The following is a 15,884-nucleotide window of genomic DNA, read 5'->3' as shown; positions in this document are numbered from 1 at the left end:
GGTTTCGGGAATAGAGGAATAAACATGTGAAGAATGGGGGATTTTTAAGGCAGTGAAACTATTCTATATGACTGTAATGGTGAATACATGTCATTATACACTTGTCAAAATCCATGAAATGTACTACACCAAGAGTGAATCCTAATGAAAACTGTAGATTTTAATTAATGTATCAACATTGGCTTATCAGTGATAACAAATGTACCACACTAATGTAACATGTTCATTACAGGAGTTAATTATATGTTAATAATAAGCTGGTTGAGGGTGGGAAGTCAGTGATGGCTAGATGGCAATTATCTGTAATTTCTGCCTAATTTATCTGAATCTAAAACTGCAGCTCTGGGCGCACTGCCTAGGAGTTAGCCGGGCTCCACAAGGAGCAGTAAAAAACAGACAAATGTAAAACTGCTCTAAAAAATAAAGTCTATTAATTTTTTTAAAAGTATATTGTGGCAGCACAGACACCAGCCCACATGCTTGGGAATCAGTATTTCTGAAAAGGGATCCTCCATTTTTAAAAAGAGGGCTGCCTGAAAATATTTCTACAAGAAGTTGCATGTATCCACATAATGTGCTTCTTCTTAACACCCAATAGTCTTTACAATTATCAAGGGCAGGCCGTTACCTGCTGTGTCTTAATAATTATGGTTTAAAATACAATAGAATTTCATTAGATCTTCTTGGCTTAATTCCCAAACTTCTTCAATTTTAGGTTCAGAAAATAACTGATAAGAGCTGGGAGATCTATTAATGTTTAATAATAAAGTCATCACTCCTAATACGCCCATAGCCATTTATGATAAAAGAAATGCACAGTTAAATTAGGCTTATAAAATGGCAAGGCAAAGTACATCTGATAATGTAGCTCTGAACTTACACATCTATACATGCATAGTCAACAGGCCTTTATCAGCGTTTACTAATCCTGCAGAACCATTGCTCTCAATCAACCATTCAGTAACTCAATTAAGTAAACACAGGATGGGCAGCAGGTACACAAACTGCATGATGCCATTCAATGGATATAATAGAGCCACTGAGTTGAAGATAAGGAAGTGGTTGGATCTGGGGGGTAAATCTACGTGGGAGAGGCTTCAGGAAGGTAGGGCAGGAATCTGCTGTTTTATGTTAAAGCTTTGTAGTTATTTGGTTTTTAAATTATGTGCAAGAATCACCTTGAAAGTGATAAAGATTTCTTAAGGATGGCTAAAATAATTGTGTAATTAAATAAAAAATGCTTATAATTTAATTTTTATAAAACAAGATAAAAAGTTTTATATACATTATGATTACATAATAAAAATGTTTGGAAGCAATATTAAAATCAAATTAAACTGAATCAAAAATTTTTACATAAACACTTGTATGCTTCTGTGGTGAGTTGGTTTTTCTTTTTCTTCATTGCTAAAGTGTCCACAATGAGCTATAATGATTTACTTTTATAAAAATATAGTTGTAAAAATTAAAAATCAAACACAGCAAGACACTTATTTATACCAGTCACCAGCGTCCAGGGTGTCCTCAGGAACCTGGCCATAACTGTGGACAGGCAGCACCTCTAGATGGTGTTTCCGTTCCATTCTGATGCCTTGGTGTCACGGGCGGCCTGCTTCCTCACCCATGAAAAAGGTAATAATAACGCCCATCCCCGCATGGCTGTGGTGGAGTTTAAATGGGTTCACAGAAGACAAAGACATAGAAAGCCCTTCTCCCTTAAGGCCTGGCATATTCATGAGCTTGTGGTAAAGTATGAAGGTCAAAAGCCAGGCAATAATTTGAACCTAGCCAAGGATTTTAAACGCAAAAGAAATATGGTGGAATGAGAATTGGAAAACATTCTGGTGGAGCGCAGTGGCTCGGACCTGTAATCCCAGCACTTTCAGAGGTGAGGCGGGAGGACTGCTTGAGCCAGGAGTACGAGACCAGCCTGGGCAACATAATGAGACTCGTCTCTACAAAAGAAAATTTAAAAATTAGCCAGGCATGGTGGTGTACGCCTGTGGTCCCAGCTACTCCAGAGGCTGATGTGGGAGGATTGCCTGAGCCCAGGAGTTTGAGGGGGCAGTGAACGGTGATTGCACCACTGCACCCTAGCCTGGGCAACAGAGTAAGAACCTGTCTCAAAACAAACAAAAAAAGAGGCCGGGCACGGTGGCTCACGCCTGTAATCCCAACACTTTGGAAGGCTGAAGCAAGCGGATCACCCCAGTTTGGCCAACATGGTGAAATCCCATCTCTACTAAAAATATAAAAATTAGCCAGGTGTGGTGGTGGGTGTCTATAATCCCAGCTACTTGGGAGGCTGAGGCAGGAAAATCGCTTGAACCTGGGAGGCGGAGGCTGCAGTGAGCCACGATCGCACCACCGCACTGCAGCCTGGGCAACAGAGAGACTCCATCTCAAAACAAACAAAAGGGAAACCATTCTTTGGACTAAGCTTGAAGCCAAAGCAGTGACTTACCAAGTGACATATCTGCAGTATATGATACTAGAAGTGAACTGGAGAGTCACTGTAAACTCACTCTAGGAGTTTAAAGGTGAAAAAGAGGAAATGGAAGGTCATGGCTGGATCCAGTTATTTTCTTAAAAATGAGGATGCAGCTGGGCGCGGTGGCTCATGCGTGTAATCTCAGCACTTTGGGAGGCCAAGGGGGGTGGATTACGTGAGGTCAGGAGTTCAAGACCAGCCTGGCCAACATGGTGAAACCCCGTTTCTACTAAAAATACAAAAATAAGCCGGGCATGGTGGGTGGACGCCTGTAATCCCAGCCACTAGGGAGGCTGAGGCAGGAGAATTACTTGAACCCAGGAGATGGAGGTTGCAGTGAGTCAAGATTACACCATTGCACTCCAGCCTGGATCATAGAGCAAGACTCCATCTCAAAAAAAGAAAAAAAAAAATGAGGATGCCAAGAAGTGCCATAAAATTGAGAAGGAAAACAGATGGTATAGAACAGGCCTGTACCATGATTCCCAAACTGTGTTTTGAGGCCCTCCCGGTGCCATGGTGAAGTCACAGAGGTGCCCTGGGATATTTCAAATTTTCAAGGGAAACACAATGACATCTCTCACACATCGTGAGAGGTACTCACTCAAGGTAGTGCTGTTTCAACATTAGATCATGCTATCTTCCTTTCAACAGCAGCATATATTTGTAAAACTGGGTTTTCTGTGGTTGCTATAATAAAAAAAAAAAAGAAAGAAAAAGAAAAAACAAGTACCACCAGAAAGTGAGAATGTGGGTGTCCAATATGATTCTAAGGTTGGAGAAGTTGTGCGGCAGGGTGTACACATCCCATTTGAGAATAACTGTGGTCATTTAAGAATAATATAAAAACATATTTTTCTTTCAATGTATGTGTATTTTTTTTTTTCAAATGGCACTAAGTCATTATAACAAACATTTATTAAGTTGTTTGATCTTGGCCGGGCGCGGTGGCTCACGCCTCTAATCCCAACAATTGGGAGGCCGAGGTAGGCAAATCACTTGAGGTCAGGAGTTCGAGACCAGCCTGGCCAACATGGTGAAACCTCATCTCTACTAAAAATACAAAAATCAGGTGGGTATGGCAGCAGGCGCCTGTAATCCCAGCTACTCAAGAGGCCGAGGCAGGAGAATCGCTTGAACCCAGGAGGCGGAGGTTGCAGTGAGCTGAGATTGTGCCACTGACTCCAGCCTGTGGGGACAGAGCAAGACCCTGTCTCAAAAAAAAAAGTTGTTTGACCTAAATATTCACTAACTGAAACTCTCCTGTATTTTTTCTGCTGTCGGGTTGCCTTGAAAAAATTATAGACACTCAGAATGCTGTGAAGCAAGCATATTTGGGAATCTGTAAGCAAGAAATTTTTGGAAGTGGGAAGCAGTGGATGGCAGGTTAGGACAGAGCAGGTGTAGCTTGACAGAGAGGCGGAAACTGAGCAGATGTGCTGGGAAGGGGAAGCAGTTCTCCTGGCACCGGGACCCACCTGCTTTATCTCTCACATTGCCCGCACTGCCATTAGGAGAAACTACTGACTCTCAGAAAGGATCAGTACCTTAGAGGCCACCCCCAATTCGTTTCAAAAAATTTTTAAATTACTTAAATAGTATGACAGACAATTCTATTGAATTTCCATCTTCCTTACTGAAAATTGTTTTTTCTCACCATTCCAGTCACCCGAGGCTCAAACCCTCAGTCATCCTGTCACTTTCGCTTCACATTTTACTCATTAGGTCCACCCTCCCTCAAGCCCTGTCAGTTTTGCGATATAATTGCACTTGGATTCTAGGCTCGGAAAGGCATGGAGCAGATAGTGAGTTTTGATTTCTTTTCCCTATATTGGTCTCCTTTCTCTACTAAACCCTACCTAATATTAATTGCTACAACAGCCCTGCTACGTCTAACCATCCCAGGTTGCTGAGGTTGCCTCCCAGCTGGCACCCTCCCGTTTTGCTACACTCATCTTTATGAATTCTATTTTCATGTTACTTCATATTCAAAATTCTTTTTTTTTTTTGATGGAATTTCGCTCTTTTTGCCCAGGCTGGAGTGCAGTGGCACAATCTCAGCTCACTGCAGCCTCCGCCTGCCAGGTTCAAGTGATTCACCTGCCTCAGCTCCCCCAATAGCTGGGATTACAGGCGTGTGCCACCACTCCCGGCTAATTTTGTATTTTTAGTTGAAATGGGGTTTCACCATGTTGGCCAGGCTGGTCTTGAACTCTTGAGAATTCACCCGCCTCGGCCTCCCAAAGTGCTGGGATTATAGGCATGAGTCACCACACCCAGCCTACGTTTATAATTCTTCGGAGACTGTCTTCTACCTATTATTTACCTGATTAGATAAATTAATACACTGGCACACATAGAACCAGGCTTTAAAATTGTGATGTCAGCCAGGTGTGGTGGCTCATGCCTATAATCCCAGCACTTGGGGAGGCTGAGGCAGGAGAATCGCTTGAGCCCAGGAGTTTGAGGCTAGTCTGGGTAACACAGTGAGACCCCCTCTCTATAAAAAATTTAAACACATTAGCTGGGCGTGGTGGCACATGCCTGTAGGCCCAGCTACTCAGGAGGCTGAGGTGAGAGAATTGCTTGTGTCTGGGAGGTTGAGGCTGTAGCGAGCTGTGTTTATGCCACTGCACTCCAGACTGAGTGAGAGTGAGACTCTGCCCAAAGAAAAAATAAAAATGAAACTGTGATCTCCCTTATCCATTCATTCTCCACCCACTCCTTTCCTTATGCTTCCCTACAGCACCCACGGAAGAATGTACCTATTTTATCATCTGTCCATCGCTCCTCTGTTACTGTAAGCTCCATGAGAGCAGGGATTCCTGTCAGTTTTGCACACCCTTGTATTATCAGTGCAAGAAACATTGTTCGGCACTTGTAAATGCTCTGTAAATATCTGTGGAATAAAGAGTATCCAGTGGAGTAAATGCTCAATACATTTTAAACATTATTATTACTAATATACCATCATTTGTAATACTGCTATCAACACTCCTGCCAACAGGACAAAACCTGAAATATTCAACCTGCCCCTCCCTGCCTCTCCCAGGCTGGCCTCAACCTGCCTCACCATCACCTGTGTTACTCCAAATGTTAGACTCCTAATTGGCACGGTGGCATCACCTGCCTTTTCATCTTGGCTCATGCACTCCTACCCATTTATGCAAATCTCACCTGTCTTCCAAACGTAACTCAAAACCCATCTTGCCTGGTCTCCAGCAGCCCACATCCTTCTCCCCTCAGATTTCTTCTCTCCACAATCAATTTGGAATTTCGTCCCAAGCCCCAGGACATCTCTTATAGTACAACTTTATGTCTGTTATGTACAACTTTATGTCTGTTATGTAACTCTAGAGGTGTCTATCAGTTAGTACGTGTATAGCTCTCTCCTCGATAGACTGTAAACCCCTTGAGGACAGACCCTGTCTATCCCGCTTCTTTGCAGACAACTTGCTTCAATAAAACATACACAGTGGGCCACCTGGTTACCAAGTCAGCAACAAAGCACCAGTTGTTGAATTAAAGTGAACTTAGAAATTCCACGTGCTTATTCCATAGTTTGTGGTCAGCAGCAATTCCGTAATAGAATATATTTTAATTATTAGCTACAATGTATTTGGTTTATAATAGATGATTAATAAATGTTAACTCCCAAAATTGTTTTCGTTTCAGACGTATCTAGACGATGAAAACAAACAAAATGTCCCCCATTATCTGATAATCTGTGATCATTCAAAGAATGTGGGCTGAAAATCTTTTACTTAAAAATCTTCCTGGCTGGGTGCGGTGGTTCACGCCTGTAATCCCAGCACTTTGGGAGGCTAAGGCGGGCAGATCACCTGAGGTCAGGAGTTCAAGACCAGCCTAGCCAACATGGTGAAACCCTGTCTCTACTAAAAATACAAAAATTAGCCAGGCGTGGTAGCACATGCCTATAATCCCGCTGAGGCTGAGGCAGGAGAATTGCTGGAACCCGGTGGGGGGGTGGTGGGGAAGGGCAAGGGGGGGAGGGGCGGAGCTTGCAGTGAGCCAAGATTTATGCCACTGCCCTCCAGCCTGGGCAACAGAGTGAGATACTGTCTCAAAAAAAAAATTTCCTGAAGTAAAGCAGCAAAGGACTTTGGAATGAGGGGAAATTGGGTCTATCCTTGTTCTTCCATTTATTAACAGACATATAAACATAAGCAAGTTACTTCATTAAACTTCATTTTCCTCATCTGTGAAGGGTAGATAACAGTCCTCCATCAGGGGTCACCATGAGGATTAAATGAAATAGCATATGTTAAATGCTCTCTCAGAGCAAGTAAACAATGCGTTACTTCCCATTATCCGCCCCCGTCCTCCAAAACAAGGAAAGCCAGGTTATAGTGACATGATCACACTTAAGAAATGTTGCTGTGACATTCTGCACAAACAAAATTGTTAAACAAAAATTGCTAAAGAGGCTTTATGAATGGGAATCCTGCTAACAAAGAAAGCGGTGTAATTTTCACAGCACTCCAGATAATGTCTGATGCGTCCCCAAGTCCCCCAGCTCTACCTCAATTCTATCCCTCTCTTCACTTTACTGGAATTCTAGTGGTCCAGGTTTCAGATTCTTCCCCAACTCACACTGGCCTTCCCACAATTAATCTGCTGAATTATTTTACTATATTTACAGCCCATGCTCACATATTTGGCAGAAAAAACAGTTCTATGTTTGCAGATGTCTTTTTCAATTGGCATTGACTTTTTTCTCTGATTTTGTCACTGAGTAAAAAATGAGGAATTCTGTTTTTCAGCCTCAAGCCATGTTAAGTTGGAGGACAGACAAAGAAGCAAAGAGTGGGGTCACGTGACAAAGCTCCCACCCCCACTCCCCCCGCCCAACCCTTCACTTTCCCAGGTACAAAGAATTATAAAGTTGCCTCCAAGCAGCGTCTTTGCCTGGAGAGCCATTTCCCGAGCCTCACACCTCAGCCAATGCACGTTCAACTGCTCACCCAGACGGGTGCATTCTCCCTCCCCAGGGCCCGTTGTGGCTTTTTGGATGCCCCAGCTGGCCTCCCGCTGAGAAGGGAAGGGACTTGGCCTGGTGAGAGGAAGATTAGGGTTTTCAAGCAGCCCCAGGAGGAGGAAGTTACTTGTTCCCACGGGCATGGGTTTTTCTTTTTGTGGGTGTGTTTTTTCTTTCTGAGACCAGGAAGCTAAATTTGCCTAATAGTTAAGACCAAAAGGATTATAGATTCTTTCTTCAAACCCCAGCCTGTGGCCCATCCCATCCCTCCATGGTAAAATCAGTCAATTTCTAAATCACCCTGACAGAGGGAGGGTTTCCAGACCCGGCAGTGAAGCGTATTCTATTCCATTATTTCTATGAAAAGCACTATATTAACAGAGCATTCATATTTATGTTCCTCATTCTTCTCACTCAAACTCTACACTAACTTAAAGTACGAACACTAAATTATATCCCAATTTCCTAAAAAGGCAAAAATCAAAACTTCATTTCCCTCTCCACTCTTTCTCTTCTTTTCAATAAACAACTGTTAGGTTTAGATTCTCACACATGTTCACTTTTCCTATTTCCTTTAATTAGCCCTGAAAGCCCAGCAAGTCCTGCTTTTCTTGAAATAATTGAGATCCTCTTTCTCCCCTATTATTTCTGCTTAAAATGTGTTATCTCCTGGTAACACAGACCAACATTCAACAGTCCTGCCTGTCGGGAATGTCTGACTACTATCACTTTTTTTTTTTTTTTTTTTTTTTTGTAGAGACAGGGTCTCCCATGGTCTCGAACAACTGAGCTCATGCAATTCTCCTGCCTCGAACTCCCAAAGCACTGGGATTACAGCTGTGAGCCACTGCACCCAGCCCATTCTCGCTGCTGAAGTCCACCTCCCCTGGGTACCACCTCCGTGAAGGTGGAGAAATCTCACCACCACTTTTGCACAGCCCATCATGGGCACCCATCAGGACCCGATCAGAATCCCCGTGTAGTTGGCTGGCCCAGTGGTGGGGTTTGCCAAAGAACTGTGGGCATACACTGAGCCTGAATCCCTCAGCCTCAGTGACTCATTTGGACAATGAGGACACTGCCCCCTACCCCGCAAGGCCATAGTAAGGATTAACCGAGACAACCCCGAACACCTGGCACCACTCAATCTGGGAGGGCTCTGGTCAACATCACTTATGTGTGGTGATGGACAAAATGCATTATTATTCCTTAACAATCGTTTCTAGATCTGTCTTCTTGATTCACTTAAACATATATTTTGCTGCACATTTTGTATTTGTCCTGTTGATGCAGAAGGCAATGATTCTTAATCCTGGCTGCACATTAGAGCTTGTAAGAAAAATGCAAATGTCCCGGCTCCATAGCCCAGACCAGTTCAATCAGAGTCTCTGGGAGTTAGGCCTGGGCATCAGTGTTTTTACATCTCCACAGGGGAACAAACACATAGGCTTCTGCATGGTGATAAGTGCAATTAAGGAAATAAAGGCAGGTTAACAGGAGAGGGAGGAATGGGGTGGTCTGTCTCAGAGGCCTGTGGGAGGCTGGCTTGCTCCCACTGAGGCCTTGTGGAAGGAAACAGCCACACAAAGTGTCCTGTCTGAGCCAGAGACAGACAGCAGAGAGTGGAGACCTGTCTGAGTCGAGCCAGCATCAGCGCTGGGAGATCTGCAAGCTGCTGCTGCCGCTACCACAGCCCAGACCACCCTGGTTCCTTCTCAGTGCAGCCTTGCTTAGTCAGCTCTTCATTCAATTTTGTGCAGTTTGGTGCAATATCTCAGCTTCCTTCCAATAAATCCCCCATTTCTGCTTAAGCTAGCAAGAGGAGGTTTCCACAGAAACCCAAAGAACTTCTATGAATACAACATGTCATTAAGTTTAAATTAATCTTTTTACACAGTCATGTTTGACAAACACAGAACTTCACATCAGGAGATTTGGGAAAATCTATTCCAGCCTCTGCCATTGAATATCTCAAGCATATTCCTTAATTTTTTCAGGGTCAAACAAGATATCTATCCCTTTTAACTCTAATTCTATAAATCTTTGAATCTGGGATCCTTCCTGAACATATTATGCAATAGACACTGGAAGAGTAAGTGCCTAAAAGGCAGGGCCCTGTCTCCATGTGAGTGGAGGACACCCAGTAGGAGCTTACTTAGGGAACTCTTTTTCTTTCTTTCTTGCTAGCCCCTGTCACAGTTCATTAGCACTATCCTCCCCTTCCCTACTCCCTCCACTCCACAAGTTGGACAAAATGCTGTTAGTGTATCCAGGATATAAACACTTTTAAACTGCAGTTTTTGGTGGTTCATGCCTATAATCCCAGCACTGTGAGAGGCTGAGGCAGGAGGATCAGTTTAGTCCAAAAGTTCAAGACCAGCCTGGGCAACATAGCAAGACCCTATCTCTACAAAAAACTAAAATTAGCTGGGTGTGGTGGTGTATGCCTGTAGTCCCAGCTACTTGGGAGGCTGAGGCGGGACGATCACATGAGCCTAGGAGTTCAAGGCTGCAGTGACCTACAATCACACCACTGCACTCCAGCCTGGGTGACAGCGCAAGATCCCATCTTTCTCTCTCTCTCTCTTTTTTTTTTTTTTTAGACAGAATCTCACTCTATCACCCAGGCTGATGTGCAATAGTGTGATCTTGGCTCACTGCAGCCTCGTCTCCTGGGTTCAGGTGATTCTTGTGCCTCAGCCTCCTGAGTAGCTGGGATTACTGGCATGCACCACGGCGCCTGGCTAATTTTTGTATTTTTAGTAGAGACGGGGTTTCACCGTGTTGGCCAGGGTGGTCTTGAACTCCTGGCCTCAAATAATCCACCTCCCTCAGCCTCCCAAAGTGCTGGGATTACAGGTATGAGCCATTGTGCCCAGCCCCATCTGTTTTTAAAAAAGAGAAAAAAAAATAGCAGTCTCAAAATAATAACTATCCCTGACCTCACTCATCACCCAAAATTAACAAAAATCTGATGTTTTATTTTTCTGTCTGACACACACACAGCCTAAGGTGCCATTGCAGTATTGGGCATGGGGTAAAGGGCAATGCTGCCATTGCCACACACATTTCCAGTATGGAGCCAGAGAGAGGTCAGCCTGGCTCCACTCCCAGGGGAGGAGGGAGAGGCATTGTGGAATTCAGGACATGGTGAGGGATTTATATTTTCCTTCACATCTGGCACTCAGGGATCATCGTCAAACACAGGCTGGCCATCTAAAACAGTTGTTGCAGTGTAGCTCACATGCTGTCCTCGGTGTAGATACATGTCTTCACTGCTTTTGTGAACCATATTCGCACGCACCCTTCCAGAGCAGTATTATGTATGGAAATCTTTCAAAATCACCCAAAGTAACCTGACAAAGTCCAGAAGAAATTGAAGGTTTAGCCTTAGAAGCACCATTTTTAAGTTAGAAAACAGGGCCATTTAACAGTAGGTAATAGGAAACAGCCTTGTCAGTTGCAGTTTACTGATGTTAAAAGCGTAACATTGAACACAGTCACTATTTTTTCTCAATATTCACTTTCCCCTCAAAAAACAAAATAAGTGTCTCTTTAAAACCAATCAAATACCACCATTTTTTTTAGCCAATGATCATCTCAATAAAAATTTTTTCTGAAGATTTAGTTAAACATGAAACTATCATGAGATAATTTACCATAAAGGGGAATTATCAAATTGACTTACTCAAAGTTCTATATTTACTGAACTTAAGATAGCTCTAATTTTTATACCATTATTTTATATGCTTTTAAAACAATGGCTACCCTTTAAAATATTAAGATGCCATTAATTGTGAGTTTAGAGGTATTAAAATAGAAACATACTCATGTCATATCTTAGAGCTTATGGTGATAGTAAGTACAGGCTTATTGAATATCCATTCCTTTTTTTCAGAAATCATCATCTTTGTTCTCTCTTATCCTCGATGTCTCTCGCTCGCTCGCTCTCTTTCTCTCTTCTCTCTCTCTTTCCTTCTCTTTCTCTCTCTCTCTTTGGCAGCACTGCTTCATATGTTTTATATGTAAGGAGAATTTACTTATTTTTCTTAATTTTTTATTATTTTTTGAGACGGAGTCTTGCTCTTCTCGCCCAGGCTGGAGTGCAATGGCACAATCTCAGCTCACTGCAACCTCCGCCTCCTGGGTTCAAGAGATTCTCCTGCCTCAGCCTCCAAAGTAGCTGGGATTACAGGCATCCGCCACCATGCCCAGCTAATTTTTTGTATTTTTAGTAGAGACGGGGTTTCACCATGTTGACCAGGCTGGTCTCAAACTCCTGACCTCAGGTGATCCGCCTGCCTTGGCTTCCGAAAGTGTTGGGATTACAGGCATGAGCCAGGCCCAAGATCACAAAATTTAAAGATCCAGGACCTCAAATACTTCTTTGTTTGGTTCTGGTTTCACAGAAGTATTTTTTTAAAGAGTTTAATAAAATATATTTAAACAAACTATAGTTAATATAAATAAACCTGGATAGCAGAGGCTTAATGGTATCTGGAATTGCGGTGTGTATGTTCACAAGACATCAGGCAAAGAACCTTATGCGTTGGAATATGGAAGGCAGGCAGCATCCATTCTAGAATGCCAGAGAGGTTGGACAGCTGCAACACAGCGATGGAAACTGAAATAAAAGAGATTTTCAAAAGAAAGAGCAGATAATAGATAAGGCTTTAACACAGGGTACAAGCAGCGTCATCAGCCCATGGTTAATACAGTAAGTATTATAAAATGTAACGTTTTAATCTAATTAACAAAACCATTTGTACTCTCCCAGTCTAATTCACAATTATTAAATTACCCTAATTCAAAGCAGGTGAAACCCCAGGCACACAAACAGATGGCTAAGAGACAATTTCAAGTTGAGTTGTCCCTGAATCCCATCTGAAACACATCATTAGCATTGCTCACCTTTTCTACATTTGTTTGAAACTTGGCTCTATTGTTACAAACAAAATGAACAGGAGGGGTGGGAGTGAAGAGAAGAGCAACTTCCTTGGCCTTTCTTATTTTACCAATTAGGTAAATCTACTGGATATTGTAGTGAAACTGTTTTCTCATGTCTGGAAGGGTAAGGTGAGCGAGGCTGATGAAAAGGAGGTAGAAGGAACATAATCACCACTATGGCCATTCTGTTATCTGGATTCCTAACAAAATTCCTGAAAATGGAGGCCTCAGGAAAGGTTCCAGAGATTGGGGTGTTCCTGGAAGGCATGTGGATGGCCGGCAGGGCTGTGACCTACCCAGGCCCCTAGTCCCAGCAGCTGACCTGGCTTGATTCACTGCATAGTGCCTCTCTGAGCTCTGAAGGAACTGTACACGGCTCACATGAGCAAATAAGTGCCTTCTCCTTTTTTCTTCTTCCACTCTCACTTTAGGGGAGCATTTGCACCCTAAAGTATGGGGGCCATCTCAGTATATTTCATGTCAAATACATAAAGTGCTTACAGGGAGCAGCAGGACTGGCCCCCTTAGAATACAGTGTCCCCCTTCCCCTTAGATTAGTGCCTGAGTCCTCAATCTCTTCTCCACTCCACGGCCGACCTCCAGACCCTCCTACACCTCACAGGCCATCCTAAAAACCCTCTGACCTGGCCTGCCTTTCTCTTATTTCCCATGCCATTCATATTCCCTCTTCTTTCTCTCTCTGTCATACGTGCACACACACACACACACCAACAACAACCCTCCACCTCTCCATTCTCCATGCTGCATGCTAGTCCACTTATCTTTCCAAAAGCAGCCATGATTTCATCTCTCCCCTGTTTCCTCACTGCTCATTGCTCATCTGATAGAGCTTAGCAAGTCACTCCTCCACAATAACCTGTCTTCCTGGTTTCATAAGCTGCTCATCTCATTCCAACTCATCCTCTCTCGCAGCCATAAGAAAGCCCAGTACTCCAAGGCCCTTCATACCTTCTGGTGCCCTCGCACTTGCTTGCTTCCCAGAATAACCCATCCCATAAGCAGCCTCCTTCATGTTTCAAATCAGCCATTTCACAGACCACATCCTCCATAAAAACTGTGCCGAATCCCCAGACAAAACTACACATCCCTTCTTCCACGTCTGTGCTTATTTCAAGTAGAGCACTTGTCTCACGTCCTATTCTACTCAGTACCTTCAGCCCCAGGACACTGCCAAGCCCATTACGGGCGTTTACACTTTGCTGAATCATTTCATTAATAAAATAATTTATGTGTAATTATTTCTCCTCAACCCCTCAAAAATCTCCTCCAGCACTGGTACCTTTAATGTAGTTGAAATTCAGCAAGCACAACTTTAATCGTTTTATTCAAGTTGGTGTTTTCTAGATTTGCTAGTCCCAAGAATGACCAGAGTATTTGTTAAAAATATAGATTCTTGGGCCCTGCAGTAGGCAGCCCCTGAATGAGACTTTACAAGGAGGCTGTGGATATTTGCATTTGTAGCAAACAATATAGGTAATTCTTATACTCACTTGACTTAGGGGACACTTTTGTCCCCTACTAAAATCTGAATACCTTTGGAAAGAAAGCAACATAGCAAACTTTAAAACTATTTATATTTCAATGTGAATTATTTGGTAAAATCTTTTTGCTAAAAGATTTTAACAGAGGGGCCCAGGGAAAAGGAAGCGAACACAGGATATATCCAGTTTTGATTTTTGCAAAAAGGTTTTTGGATATGAGGCCAGTTTATATCCAACCCCTTTGTAATAAAAATACTTACCTAGTAAAATGGTTTCAACAGGCAGACATCCCACTAACTCTATTACATCACTTGTCATTTTTAATAAGTAGCATCATCAATTCTTCTAGTGGTTAAATATTGATAATACAAAATATAGATTTAATTATGAAATTTCATTACTATATAAAAGTAAAGTAAAGGGGAATAAACTTTTTACACACGGGCCATTTTAAGAAAAATTATAATATTTGTAGTCCATTAAAAGAATACATATTTTTAATCAGGAAATATAATATTGTAACTGTGCTTATGTGCATTTCTTTTTTCCTTATAATGAAGGAATTTCTTCTCTGTTTTGTTTTGTTTTGTTTTTTTTTTTCAGATGGAGTCTCACTCTGTCACCCAGACTGGAATGCAGTGGCATAATCTCGGCTCACTGCAACCTCTGCCTCCCAGGTTCAAGAGAGTCTCCTGCCTCAGCCTCCTGAGTAGCTGGGATTACAGGCATGTGCCACGATGCCCAGTTAATTTTTTGTATTTTTAGTAGCTACGGGGTTTCGCCACGTTGGCCAGGCTGGTCTCGAACTCCTGGACCTCAGGTGATCCGCTTGCCTCGACCTCCCAAAGTGCGGGATTACAGGCATAAGCCACCATGCCCAGCCAAGAATTTCTTATTTGGGTTAAAATTTCAAAAACTACTTAAGCGCAGGCATGGTATAGTCTAACCATAACGTTAGATTTTATAAAGGTTGTGACTAGGAGTATTCAAGCCTGATTTCTTTCCTTGACTGGCTTTCATTGCAAAATAACCACTTCATTACGAAAAACATTTTGTTTCATTATGCCTAGCAATGCATCCTTAATGATACATTGCAAAAGGGGCACACAGAAATGTGTTACACGGTGAAATATTCTTTAGTCAAATTCCTTTGGAGTACATTTATTTTTACCATCATTTCTTTTCTTGCAGCAGTCTAGCTGGTGTTTAAATGATTATCTCTAAGGTAGCTTGCCCCAGTCACACTGTGCTCTAAGTTGTTCCTCTCTCCTTCCATTTGAGCAGGGAAACACTAGATGGGAGAAAGCGCGGAAAGGGCTAGAAGGGACGTGGTAGAACACACCACGACGATATTGAGCTCACTCAGAATCAAACTTCCACATCTCCATTTGGACGCCCACCACACCCCATCAATAAGACCTGTCCATATCACAACACACTTGAAACCCACTCCCCTCCCATCTTCTCCATCTCAGTAAAGGGCACCAGGTGCTGAAGTTTAAAACCAAGAAGTCGCCCTTGATTCCTCTGTTTCTCAATCTTCAAATCAAATTCATCAGCAAGCCCTTTCCACGGACATGCAAAACCTATCCCCAATCTCATGTCGCTTTGACTCCCTGCCTCAGTCTCCAGGGCAGGTGCCCCGCAGCTCATAGGACTGCCCCCAGGGTTACCAGATAAAATACAGGACACCCTAGTACAATGGAATTTCACATATGTATAAATACTTCCCCAATTCAGACTTCTTTCCACCAAGTAGTGAATGTACATTTCCACCTGCTGCCCCTACGAGTTCAGGGTCACCAGGAGAGTCATCTCAGTCTGTACAAAAGAGATGGTTCACGCAATTCCTTGAGTATTTCATTGTATTTTAACCTTGTAATTTTTAAAATTTAGTAAAAAACCGGTTGGGTGCGGTGGCTCACGCCCGTAATCCCAACACTTT

General features: G+C 42.8%; 1 protein-coding gene across 3 annotated transcripts in view, besides 4 other annotated features; it reads right to left on the bottom strand.

The window, feature by feature from the left end:
- Nucleotides 1–15,884, bottom strand: part of LYN (LYN proto-oncogene, Src family tyrosine kinase) — a 134,335-nt gene that overhangs the window by 86,904 nt on the left and 31,547 nt on the right. The window lies entirely within an intron of this gene.
- Nucleotides 7,322–7,616: a silencer, noted in NCBI's record as "tiled region #838; K562 Repressive non-DNase unmatched - State 5:Enh". NCBI's record gives its function as "represses a minimal TATA promoter and a strong SV40 promoter by Sharpr-MPRA in K562 cells {active_cell/tissue: K562}" and the evidence as "EXISTENCE:reporter gene assay evidence [ECO:0000049][PMID:27701403]".
- Nucleotides 7,654–7,753: an enhancer, noted in NCBI's record as "active region_27387". NCBI's record gives its function as "activates an Ori minimal core promoter by ATAC-STARR-seq in GM12878 lymphoblastoid cells {active_cell/tissue: GM12878}" and the evidence as "EXISTENCE:reporter gene assay evidence [ECO:0000049][PMID:35858748]".
- Nucleotides 12,194–12,694: an enhancer, noted in NCBI's record as "H3K4me1 hESC enhancer chr8:56827131-56827631 (GRCh37/hg19 assembly coordinates)". NCBI's record gives its function as "activates a minimal SCP1, AML or CMV promoter by ChIP-STARR-seq in primed H9 embryonic stem cells {active_cell/tissue: H9 hESC(primed)}" and the evidence as "EXISTENCE:reporter gene assay evidence [ECO:0000049][PMID:30033119]".
- Nucleotides 12,695–13,195: an enhancer, noted in NCBI's record as "H3K4me1 hESC enhancer chr8:56826630-56827130 (GRCh37/hg19 assembly coordinates)". NCBI's record gives its function as "activates a minimal SCP1, AML or CMV promoter by ChIP-STARR-seq in primed H9 embryonic stem cells {active_cell/tissue: H9 hESC(primed)}" and the evidence as "EXISTENCE:reporter gene assay evidence [ECO:0000049][PMID:30033119]".

Source organism: Homo sapiens, chromosome 8 (assembly GCF_000001405.40).
Source record: "Homo sapiens chromosome 8, GRCh38.p14 Primary Assembly".
Lineage (NCBI taxonomy): Eukaryota > Metazoa > Chordata > Mammalia > Primates > Hominidae > Homo > Homo sapiens.
Note: the sequence above shows the minus strand (reverse complement) of the source record. Positions and strands in the feature narration are given on the sequence as shown.